Source organism: Homo sapiens, chromosome 2 (genome assembly GCF_000001405.40).
Source record: "Homo sapiens chromosome 2, GRCh38.p14 Primary Assembly".
Classification (NCBI taxonomy): Eukaryota; Metazoa; Chordata; class Mammalia; order Primates; family Hominidae; genus Homo; species Homo sapiens.
In genome coordinates, this window is record NC_000002.12 from 69,103,772 (window position 1) to 69,117,243 (window position 13,472).

Below are 13,472 nucleotides of genomic sequence, written 5' to 3' on the forward strand. Positions count from 1 at the left end.
GTGATAACTGTCATAATATACTGCATTTTCTGTAATGCTATGTACCTTCTAAATGCTTCACATCTTTTTGCTACAACAGCCCTGAGAGGTAAAGAGAGCAAGGAGGACAGGAGGACACACATTTGTTGACTAATCACTCACACTAGTTTTCTCCTCCTGATAGCCTATTTTTTTTTTTTTTTTGGAGACTGAGTTTTGCTTCTGTTGTCCAGGCTGGAGTACAATGGCACGATCTCAGCTCACTGCAACCTCCGCCTCCCAAGTTGAAGCGATTCTCCTGCCTCAGCCTCCTGAGTAGCTAGGATTACAGGTGTGCATCACTACACCCAGCTAATTTTTTGTATTTTTAGTAGAGATGGGTTTCATCATGTTGGCCAGGCTGGTCTCGAACTCCTGACCTCACATGATCCACCCGCCTCGGCTTCCCAAAGTGCTGGGATTACAGGTGTGAGCCACCACACCCAGCTCCTCATAGCCTTTTGAAGGAGGTTATCTTGTTTTTAAAGAAGAAGAATTGAAGGGCTATGGATATTTCCTTCTTGACATCATAAAACCCACTTTAGTAGTTAAACAGACACATGCTGTGTCTTCCTCACAAACATCTGGAATTCCTGGCCTTGGAGTAATTCCAAACATTAGAAACATTCGGTTAGTTTTCTTAATATTTGGAAATGCTCTCACAGATCCAAAAAGTACGTGCTATTTGAAAACATTCTGAAATATCCCTGAGTAGTCACAGTGTGAAAGTTGGACGTGTGCCCCCAGCAGAGTTCTTTCTTTTTTCTCCCTGTCAATTGTGATGTCACTTAAGTCCCCCTTTTCTCTTTAACCAAAATCCCAAGTCTAACATCAGAAACTCCTGAAGGTTTAACTCAAAGACATCAATACCTTCCAAAGAAGACTTCCCAAACAAGCAGGCTTTCAGGCCCAAGCTCTCTGAAGATACATGGAAGTGGGCTGGGGAGAGAGAGAATCTACCCTATGTGCCGTTGCTCAAAGGTTACACAAGATGCTGTATTAAATAAGATGTGGCCAGGCACGGTGGCTCACGCCTGTAATCCCAGCACTTTGGGAGGCTGAGGTGGGTGTATGGCCTGAGCTCAGGAGTTCGAGACCAGCCTGGGCAACATGGTGAAACCTTGTCTCTACCAAAAATACAAAAAATTAACTGGGCGTGGTGGTGCACACCTGTGGTCCCCAGCTACTCTGGAGCCTGAGGCTGAAGGATCACTTGAGGCCAGGAGGCAGAGGTTGCAGTGAACTGAGATCATGCCACTGCACTCCAGCCTGGGTGACAGAGTGAGACCCCATCCAAATAATAATAGGAAGAAGATGAAATGCAAACTCACTATGGATTTGTCAAGTGAGTACTCGAAGGCCTATTTTCCAACTTCTTTGGGAAATTTTATTTCTTTCTTGGGAAACCAGTCCATCCCTCTCTCTCCTTTCTTCCTTTCCTAATATATAGTTGCAAACATATGCACAGGCTTGTCACCTCATTCATATTCAAAAAGAAATGGAGGTTGTTGGGGTAGGGATTTGGCTTAAATCACAAACCCGTGCCTTTAGCACAATACTAAGTTTGGAGAAGATGAAGGCAGTGATTTGATCATATTCTATGCTGCAAGCAACACCCCAAAACTCAAGCATACAGCTATTAAAAATATTCTAAGGGGAAAAATAGCGTTTGAGGAAAACACTTGGCCTTTAGTTAGTAATTCACCTGTTCATTTCCATGGAGAAAATAATATGAACAAGAACCTGTGGAGGTAGAAAAGATGAACAAATTCTAAAATGCAGCACGTTTAGATCTACATTTTTCTGTCAACTTTATAAATGTCATAGTTTCTACTGATTCCTCCCTGTAAAATAAAATACACTTAGATTCCTTTACCTTTCCCATTTTCCTTCCCCACCTCTATACCCCAAGTTTTAAAATGTTATCTGTTTTTATTTTTATATCACATATTTCTTTTTTCAAGATTTTTTTTCCTAAGTGCTGCATTGGAATTTGTGACAAAAAGAGAACATAAGTGCCATTATTAATGAGAAAGACTTAATTGAAGGCCCAATAATGAAGCTAAGGCTGTGTGGCTCTAGCCACTTCAAACATGAGGCAGACCTCAGGATCTTCAGCAAATAATGCAATAGCAAGCTATATGAAGCAAAATCTGTCAAAAGAACAAATTAAAAATGATATGGATAGTGGGAGATATTAATATGATTTTTCAAGTCTTAAAACTTAATTTAAAAGTTAGAGATATAGAGCATATATCTTTATGCTCTAAAGATATAGGTAGGGCATATAATACTTTTTTAAATGACTGTGAACAACTTTGCAAATTGATCATGCTAAGACATGGATAAAATGCCAATATATTAATGCCAAAAGTAGAAATTGTTTAGACACATTCTTAGATGATAAGCATAACCAGAAGATAGGTTAATACATGCTTCTCTCCCAATTTCCTTGCATTTGCTTAAAAAATCAACCACTTAGAAATCCAAGACAGTTTCTAGATTTGTGGTCAACAAAATAGATCCAAAAATCTGGATGAAATATGATTTTTAAAATTACATTGTGTGGCCTCACTCAAAGGAAAGAAGTGGGAATCTCCAAGTATAGGAAACAAAATGGGAATAAAAACCTAAGTAAGAAACAAAGTCACAGGGGCTCCAGGCCAGGCTGCGGGCTGTGACCCCGATGCTGATGCAGATACAGGACACCAGATCTCAGGTCTGTGCCAAGGCATCACACAAAAACAGAGCCCCCTGCAGAAATCAGGCTCCAGCAGGATACACCAATCATTTAATTGGGCAAGGAAGCAGGCAGGGGATGAAAATCCACAGGTGTAATGATGTTACACCACCCATGTGATACAGAAGCACCAAGTCAAGAAACTAGCCCCAAAATGTGTCCGTGATCTTCCTGATCTCTGTGGCCCTACAGAGGCCATGCACCTTCACCCTGTGGGAGTCTTCCACATAGCCCAGCCCCACAGCATGCCTGCAGCAAACAACCCCCTAAAGGTGGGCTGATGGCACAAAATGACAAACCATGTCAAGATGAATGAAACAAACAGAACAAACAAGAAGAGAGGATCAGAGAGCCAATCTGAAAGAGAATGGAAAATAAATGTGTTTAAAATGTGTGAAGACATGAAACAGATCATAGGGGAAAGAATACTCATCAAAAGCAGATTTGCAGAAGAACTGAGTATAAATTCTAGATTTGAAAAAGTTTATTCACTGAAATAAAACTTCATGGATGGATTAAACAGTGTGATTAGACACAGATGAACAGGAAATATATGAACGAGAAGGGAATTTGAGGAAATTTCATCCCCCCCCCGAACGAAAGCACCACATCCAGATTTTTTTCACCCAAGTTTTATCAAGTTTTAAGGGACAAATGACCCATATCAGATATGTACTGTTCCAGAGGAAAGATATAAAGAAAACGTTTTGTTTTGTGTGGTTTTTTTTGAGACAGGGTCTGGCTCTGTCACCCAGACTGGAGTGCAGTGGCACAATCTCTGCTCACTGTAACCTCTGCCTCCCAGGCTCAAGCGATCCTCCCACCTTAGCTTCCTGAGTAGCTAGGACCACAGATGTGAGCCACCACACCTGGCTAATTTTTGTATTTTTTGTAGAGACAAGGTTTCACCATGTTGCCCAGGCTGGTCTCGAACTCCTGGGCTCAAGCTATCTACCCACCTCAGCCTCCCAAAATGCTGGAATTACAGGTGTGGGCCGCCACACCCAGCCAAGAAAAAGCATATAAATTCATTCTATGATAATAACATAATCTTGGTTTAAAAAAAAAAACTGGACAAAGGCACTAAAAGTAGACAATATTTGAGATCAAGCTCGCTGATGACAAACATCTAAATCAAATATTGGCAAACAAAATCCAGCAATGTATTTAAAAAGGACCAAGATAGCTAAGACAACTTTGAAGACAGAGGGGGAATTTGTTCCTCATATAGCAAAAGTTACTGATGCCAAGAAGATATTAAAATTCATTATCTGTTCCTAATTTTAAAAATATATTTCTAGTAAACTAGGAATAGGATAAGACTTCTTTAACATAAAAATGTATCTACATATCTGAATTCAAAACTCAACATCATTCTAATAATAAATCACTATGTAGAGGAATTCACTTTAAAGTTCAGAAGAAAAAAAGCAGGACAATCCATTTCACCACTATTATCTAATATTGATCTGAAAGTTCTAGCAGCACTGTCCAATAGAACTTTCTGTAATGATGGAAGTGTTCTAAGATGGTAGCCACAAGCCACATGTGGCTGCTGGGCATTTGAAATGTGGCTAGTGCAATTGAGGAACTGAATTAGTAATTTCATTTAATTTTTATTAACTTAAATGTAAATAGCCACAATGGCTAGTGACTACCATATTAGACAATGCCATGAACATTATAATAACACCAGAAATCTGATAATAGATATAAATACAGGAAAAGCAGCCAAACGTCATTGCTCTAAAATAATGCTTGTGTCTTCCTGGAAAACTAGAGAGTGAACAGAACTACTAGGCTACCGAGAGGGTAATTAAGTTGGATGACTTCAAAATAAATACCTTGCTTATAACAATCAGTAGCTTTGCCAGTGTTCAGCAACGACCATTAGAAAATATCACAAGAAAAATATAGCAACAACAAATAAATTCTTTTATTTAACTTTCATTTTAAGTTCAGCGGGACAAGTGCAGGTTTCTTACATAAGTAAACTTGTGTCATGGGGATTTGTTGTACAGGTTGTTTCATCACCCAGGTATTAAGCCTAGTACCCATTAGTTATTTTTCCTGATCTTCTCTCTCCTCTCACCCTCCACCCTCTAGTAGGCCCCAGTGTGTGTTATTCCCTTCTGTGTCCATGTGTTCTCATCATTTAGCTCCCACTTACAAGTGAGAGCATGCAGTATTTGGTTTTCTCTTCCTGCATTAGTTTGCTAAGGATAATGGCCCCTAGCTCCAACCATGTTCCTGCAAAGGACATGATCTCGTTCTTTTCTATAGCTGCACAGTATTCCACGGTGTATATATACATTTTCTTTATCCAGTCTATCACTGACGGGCAGACAAATAAAATGTAACAAGAACTAATTTAATCAAATTTGTAAAGACATATATGATGAAAGTCACAAAACTTTCTGAGGGATATAAAGCAAGTGTGAAGAGTTAGAAAGCCATAGACTTATGGCATAGTTACAAGCTCTGGAGCCAGACCACCAGGGAAAAAGAGTTCTGGCTCTGTCGTATCTAGCTGTGCGACTGTGACGTCTTATTTAACATCTCCATGCCTCAGTTTCTCTCTCTGTAAAATGAGTATGGCAATAATAGCCATACTATGTCTTGGGTTGTTATGAGGTTTAAATGTGGCAGGCAGGGCTTAAAATGGGGCCCGATGCACAGTTAAGAGTCAGTCAGTGTTGGCTGCTGGTACTACCATATCATCGTCACTGTTATTAAATGGAGCAGTAACTGAGTATTGTAAAGATATCAATTGTCTTCATCTTAATATCTACTTTTATTACAATCCAAATGAAAATTCCAAGGGGACTTTTTAAGTTAACAAAATAATCTGAAGTTTATGTGGAAGAATAAACACACAAGAATAGCCAAGAAAAATGTGGAAACTCGCCCTGGCCGATTTTAAGATTTATAAAAACGCTGCAGTAATTGGAACAATGTATGATCACACCACAGTAGGCGAACTGAGCTTTGGAACAAAGCCCATAAACAGAACCAAACACTTAGGTGAATTTAGTATAAAATAAGGCAGCCTTTCAAATCTGTAGGGAAAGAGTGGGTTATTCAAAAAATGATGTTGAGACAACTGGCCAACCACTTGGAAAAACAGTTAAGTTCATTTTTAATCTCACACCTTTCATCCAAACAAATTCCAGATGAAGGAAAACTTTTAATGGGACATGAAGCTGTAAAAATTCTAGAGGGAAACAAAAAAATGTATATAATCTTCCAGGTGGGAAGGATGTGTTAAACATGAAGGAGCATACCATGAAAGAAAAATTTGAATGTTTGAGTGCATATTTTTAAATTCTCTTGTTAAACCCTACTACAATAAAACAAACAAGAAATAAAACTGGAAAAATAGGATATATAACAAACATAGGGTCAATAAACTTAGTATAAAGACAATTCCTAAAATCGGTTAAAAAAAGGTGAATATATCAGTGAGTAAAAGATATGCAAAGGAAATTTTTAAGAAAATAATGATTAATAAGCATATAGAAAATGTTTCATATAACCAAGAAAATGCAAATTGAAATAATCAATTGCCATTTTTACTTTGTCAGACTGACAAAGATTAACAAAACTACAACACGCAGTCTTGGAAAACCTGTAGGAAAACAGGTGTTTTCATTCATCATCAGTGAGAGACCATTAAATCGTTAGGAAGGAAATTTTTTAAATGAGTCAACTGCTTTTATACATTTTGACCCAGAATTTCAATTTCAGCTTCATCAAAAGAAGGTGACTGGGAATGTTTACAAAGACTTGGCCACAAGGATATTCATCACAGTATTGTTTATAATAGCAAAAGAAAAAATGGAAAGAACAAAGGGAATGAGGGAGAGAGGGAAAAGAAAAACATCTAAATGGTAACAACCTAAATGTCTGACAATAGGTAATCTGTTAGATAAGTTATACTTCACCCCTAAATAATTAAACAATGTTGTAGAAGAATAATTACTGATGTGGGGAGTGGGGAATGTTAATAATATGGCAAAAATAAATAAATAAATAAGTTACAAAACAGGCCGGGCGCGGTGGCTCACGCCTGTAATCCCAGCACTTTGGGAGGCGGAGGCGGGCGGATCACAAGGTCTCCGGAGATGGAGACCATCCTGGCTAACACGGTGAAACCCCGTCTCCACTAAAAATAGAAAAAAATTCAGCCAGGCATGGTGGTGCGCACCTGTAGTCCCAGCTACTCGGGAGGCTGAGGCAGGAGAATGGCGTGAACCTGAGAGGCAGAGCTTGCAGTGAGCCAAGATTGGGCCACTGCATTCCAGCCCGGGCGACAGAGCAAGACTCCGTCTCAAAAAAAAAGTTACAAAACAATACACTGACACTATTTTTGTTTTTTAAACACACATATTTATATGCAGACAGAGACTGGAAAGATACTCATCAAAATGTTAACAGCCATCACCTCTGAATGAAACCACTATTAATTTTTGCTTTCTTCTTTCCATCTATCTGTGTTTTCTAAGTTCTCTGGGATCATATGTCCCTGACGTAATCAGAAAAGAACCCACAAAATTGATTTAAAACTTAATTTTTAAATTCTTGCTAACTATTGAGGTCTAGAATACATCTTAAGTTTAACATTTGGTTAGTTCCTCAGTCACCAGGCTGAACTCTGCTGGCCAAGAAAATATCTTGGAAATCTTCACACAAACTGTATTTACTCTGGCCGCACTTTTTCCTCCTTTAGTATTCAGTGTACTGTGCCAAGAAAAGATCCACTTTCAACTGGAGATCCACTTTCAGAGAGATTCAAATGCTAAAAAGGAGACACTGGAGTATGAGCTGAGAAGTGATCCATTTTATGCACTGTAAATTAAAAATGGATGTTTTACTAATGCAATAATGAAAAACATGCTAGACTATCCTAGTGTTGCATGGAGATGCATGAGGTATGACTATAAACAAAAGAAACTGATTTTTAACAAACTCACTAAAATTGAGTTTATAGGCCATGTGAGAAATCAGATTCATTATATTATAGGCACACTTTATTTTTTGATGCAAAATTTTATTTCTCAACTTGATTTTCAATCCTATTCACCAGGCATGGCTCTGGTTTACTTTTGCACACTCTCAAAGGATAAAGCTTTGTCCCATTTGAACATATTTCCCCAAACTGAACATCGGTCAGGAAGGCAGTTCTAGGAGTTCTGAGGAGGGGGCTCAACTTCCTAGGGGGAAGAGAGACAACACTCATTCGAACGTAGACGTTCCAGAGGGTGTTGTTTTCAAAAACATGCCCAATTTTCCAGAAACTAAACTTCATCTTAGAAAACACCTGGGCTCCAGGGCTGCTGTGGGCACCCTAAGGAGATCATTAAAGTGCAGATGGGGAGGGAGGATCGAGGGCAGGAGAACATAAACTTCCCAAAAAAAAGCCTATTGTTTCCTTTGTTATGGGTTAGAGTCTTGCCATATGTTGGTCAAAGGCACTTAACGCAATCTCGATACATCCCTAGGGATTTTATATCATGTGAAGGTGATGAAATGCCATTTTGTGTAACTCAGAATGAAGAGACGTAAAGGAGCGTACAGTCTCATGTTCTTCATGGGGATGCCCATCAGAATCACCAGGGAGCTTCCGCCAAGTGATAGCAGCTACTGATTGTTGAGTACCTACTCTGCACCAGGTGCTGGGCCAAGCACCCTCCTGTATTATCTCATTTCATCATCACCGCAGCCCAAAGAGGGAGGAGTTATTTGAATCCCCATTTTGCTGATGAACTCAGAGAGATGAAGTGCCCAAGTTCGCGCAGTTGGCAGGGGTGGAAAGGACTTGAACCTGGGCAGTCGGACTCCAAAGGCTTTAGACTGCTTCCCTACATTGCCTCCAAGACACAGATCCCCAAAGATCCCTGGGACCACTGACTCCAAATGCCCAGGTGACAGATGTGTGCCTGATTCAGAGATGCTGATTTCAATAGATCCCCCTCATTTTGCAGAAAGATAATCGCAGATCAGAGAGATGTAACTCCTTGCCAAAGGTCACAGGACACATTAGTAGAGAAGTCAAGACTTGAACCTAAGATCAAGAGAAAAAGCCCCCGACCAGGGTAGGAAGAACCCCAGGCATTAGGGTGTCAGTGTCTGCAGCTGGCTGTGTGACCACAGTTAAGGCACCTCTCCTCATTCCCCGAGTGGCCCTTTTTCTTGAACTTCAGGAGCATTTTGTGTATCTGGTGGTGTTTCCCCTTTGGCCCTCTTTCAGACAGAACTCTGGTCTTTGCCCACTGATTTTTGAAGTGGCTCCTGCAGAGACTGTGTTAGTGGATGTTCCCATCTTTCAGTTCTAGAAAAATACAGATACGTTGAAATTTACTGCCATAATCTAGAATGGTTGGGGGACAAAAGGGAAGTCGCCACCAGAGGTAACTAGGTGGCAAGGTTTTCAGTTGGGAGTAAAAGAGTTTATTCTGGGGGTGAGTTGACACAGTCCAAAGTTAGCTGCACCAGTCCCTGGTGGACAGTCATCCTTGATGTTTCCCCTGCTCTACCAAGTTTGAAATTGACTCCACGTGAAAATCGTGAGCTCCACGAGGACTCCAGGCATGTGCTGCATTTGTTTTATGCATGTCTGGGAGAGATTTGCTTGTGAACTTCTCTGAAACCCACCTTCCCCCTAGTCCTGCTGTCCTGCGGGGGTAAGTTGGCATCCCCCTCTATTTCTGCACCCCATGGCTCAGTTTTCATGTAAGGTGACCAGCAGGTGGATGCTGCCCTTCCCCATGCAATACTGCTCCTCTGCCATTTCAGTAGGATGATGGAAGAGAAGGTGATTAACTCAGAGACAGGCCATACTCCTGGAACCCCAGGCAGGCTAATAGTCTGTGTCCCTTCAAACTGACATTCTTTAAATATTTGTTCAACATCCATTGAGAGAAGTTGGGTACTGCTGAGGGAAAGGAAGAAAGTGCTCCTGGTGGCTCTGTCCCCCATGCCATTCAGCTCTGGCAGCCAGCAAGCATCCCACAGCACTTTAGTGGCCCAAGTGTGTGCCCAAGTTCTCCTTCCCACCTCTCCTCTGAGTTTCTCTGTAAATTTGTGTCCTTTAAGAGCAGTCAGCATTTGCCATAACCCGTGGCCATGAGTGTGTGGAAGGCTTTAGCCATTTTGGTAGACTTGCCACTCAGTTCCAATTCCAAAGGTAAAATTATTCCAAATTTGTATACTGCCACAAGGGTTCGTGTGTCAGGAGACACATACCTTGTGCATGAATCCTGAATTATCCTCTACCAAGTGAAAACAAAGCTTTGCAAATATTTGTATTCTTAGCAAGTTATAGCTGTTTTAAGTGCTGCAGTTATTCTGACCTCAGGATTACAAAATCTTAAAAAGCTGATGCTTTACTTAGAAGATAATTTGTAAGTTCTATAAATGTCAACAGTCAAGAATTGTTTTGGGTGTGGATTTATTGAGAGGAGAAAATACTTTGCAAGAACGCTGAACCCCATTAGCTTCATTTCATTTCCTTGTACTGCCTAAAACTACCCTATTAACTTCAGATAAATGCCAAATGCCACAGAATTATATGTAATCTCAATTATGTTAAAAGTAATATGCATGGAAAAATTCTGAAATAGTATTTCCCAAGACATTAATTTTACCACTGGAAGTTGAGATTATCAAGGATTTTAATTTCTTTTTTATATACTTCTCTGTATTCCCCAGGCTTTTATACTAATATGTATTACTTTGTGATTAATACAAATAACAACACATATGGGTAGATAATAATTTACATCCTGAGAAGGCAGACCAGCTGTGCTGACAAACAGTTCTCAATGCTGGTGTGCCCAGAGCTGTGAGGTCACAACCTTGTGCAGAACTTGGGGTGTGTAGCCCAACAGACAATCCAGATATCTGCAGGGCTGCTAGACCCTGGGCCTGCACTCCTCTGGGAATGGACTCATGGTCCCTCACCTTTTACTTCCTCTCCATCTGGGGCTATAATGTAATCTTGATCCTCATGAACACAGTAACAATAATAACCCACTTCATTTCCTTCCAAGACTGCCCACAGCTCTGAGTCCTGTATTGGTATTTGTATGTAAGGTGTTCTGACTCTACAGCACCCCCATCCATGTCATGTCAGAGCCTTGGCGGCAATATAAGGCCCATTGCTGGAGTGCCCCATTTACATTATAAAGCTCCACCAGGCAGAGTGGCTCAGATGCAATTCCATCTACCCCTAAGAAAACCTGGACCCATTCAAGCCTGCAAGGAGGGCTTTATCAAGAGACATTCTCTTACTCCAACCAGGACTGGTCTTTCAATGCCTCTCTAGCTGTTACCTCCTCCCTTTTCTACCCATCACCTCTAAACTTTTCTGGGCATTACACCAGTACCCTGCAGGCATGAACTACAGAGTTATATCTGTAGGCCCCTCTACATTGGGCTAAAGAAGCATATAAAGCCATGGTAGACATTACGCCAGGTTTTCTAACCTCAACACTACTGACATTTTGGGCTGGATAATTTATAGCTGGGGAGTGGGGAGGGGCCTGTCCTGTGCATTGGAGGATGTTCAGCACCATCCCTGGTCTCTACCCACTAGATGCCAATAGCATTCCTCCCCCAGTTGCAGTAACCAAAACTGCTCAGGCATTGCTAGTTGCCCCTTGAGGGGCAAAATCAACCCCCATTTGAGAACACTGCACTATATTCATGTCCAAAGATCCTATTTAGATAAGTAACTTGCTTCTTATCACACCAATATTGTAAAGCCCTGATACAACCTAACAGACAGGTTGCAAGACTCACTCAGTTTGTGCACACATCCACAACTTGTGTTTTGCAGGTGCCTCAGTCGATGACCCCAACAGTGCCCCATCTTAGTAATGACAGTTATATGTTGAGTGCTTATTAAGTGCTAAGCATTAAATGATATCTTCTCAATAAAATTTACAAAAGCCTATGAAGTATTACTCCCATATTATAGATGACAATTTTGAGTTATGAATAGAGTGAAAAACCTTGCCCATGGTGACATAGCCAGTTAGTGGCAAGGCTGTGTTGGGTCTCCAGAGTCCAGGCTCTTAGTGTTCTCCATTCTACTCCAGCCTTCCTCAGAGAACAGAATGGGAAATCAAAAGACATGTCCTGGGTATCTATAGAATATAGGAACTGGTAAAATAGCTACAGACCCAGGAAACTTACCTGGAATGTGTTGGCCAAGCCCATCCCCTGATCTCATGGCAACTAGCCAGGGAGGGCTTCCAAGGAAACCCTGTAACAATACCAGGTCAGGGAAAAGGTGAGTTGTGAGCGAGGGTATGGGCCATGTCTAAGGAAAAGGATGGTGGCCAGCTTGGTTCTGCCACTTTAAAGGCATCCCTCTGGCTTTAGCCCAAGATAAGAGGACATTACAGTGGGTATACTCATTCTGAGGATGTTTCCCAACTTGGCCCAACCAACCTACATTTCACTGCCATCCATTCCCATTCGGCTTTGAATCTTCTCATTTCTCCTTGACTTCTCAACCACTGTTCAGCCTGTCCAAGTAAAAGCCATTCTCTCCACTTTCAAAATCTCTTTTTCTAGAGTTTAATGTCTTCTATCAAAAGCTTGTTATCTCACTCATCTCTGAAAACCTTCTAGCCCAGGGCCTGACACATAGTACATTCCTTTCTACTCTCAGCAATGGCTCCCATTTTGCTTTGTAATAAGACCCCCCTAACACACATTTGTGAATTATCAATGAGGCAGCCCCAGTTGGGCAATCAGTCATCTCCATTCTCTTTGGAGCTCCAGAAAGCTCAGCCCGGATTCTTTGAATTTCACCAACTTGGAGTCCTGCTGAATATAATTTTATTACAGATTTTTCCACAGTATTTTACAAGTCTAACTTTTTTCAGGCTGGTTACTTTTGGAGGCAGTGAGGAGGTAGAAATATTCAGCCTAACTCCGGCCTGTCTGTTGTTCCATCATTTGGAGACACATTCCCAAACCAGCTGATAATTTGGTGCTGAACAGTTATATTTGGCTCTGGAATGCCCTGAAAATGCTCCCTAGACCCAAGGGACACTAGGAGAAACAGCAAGGCGAGCTCATTTCAGTCCCTAACCTCCACTGTTTTTCCCACTACCTAATGTGAATGTCACTATGGGAATGTAAGCTCTGCTTCGGGCTTACATCAGCTTTGGAGGGTTCTAACACACCCTCCCGCTGCCTCCATAAGACTAGGGATTATTTTTCTCTTCCTATTTGCCAGAAATAAATATTTATAACAAGAAAAGATTGCCAAGACTTGAAAAGTATTTGGATTATTTAATCCACCCTTATAAAAAGGATTTTCTCTGATTGGTGTTTGAATTGGCTAATGAATTTCAACCCTGGTTTTATCCCAGATCCATGAGCCACCAAACTGCAGGGAAGAATTCTGGGAACTTTCTTCTTTGCCAGTCTGAAAAGGATTACATTGTCCCAAGGTCTAAACCTGTAAATATACACTTATGAGTGTATGGTTCCAGAGCATGGCTTCATTCTAGTTGGCATGACCAGGGCCTCTCAAAAGACACCTGAACCTTTTCTTCAAGCTCTTCATCCCTAGACCCCTCTCCTGGAAGGCAAGCTCCTGTTGGTATCCAGCCTTGCCCATTGAAGATCTTGGCCATGTGCCTCCAGAGCTGTCAATATGAAGAGCCTCAGCTCCTGGTGTGCTTCCAGCTACATT

General features: G+C 41.0%; 1 protein-coding gene across 6 annotated transcripts in view; it reads left to right on the forward strand.

Moving 5' to 3' along the window:
- ANTXR1 (ANTXR cell adhesion molecule 1) overlaps positions 1 to 13,472 on the forward strand; it is a 236,184-nt gene that overhangs the window by 90,628 nt on the left and 132,084 nt on the right. The gene's annotated exons all lie outside the window — the stretch shown is intronic.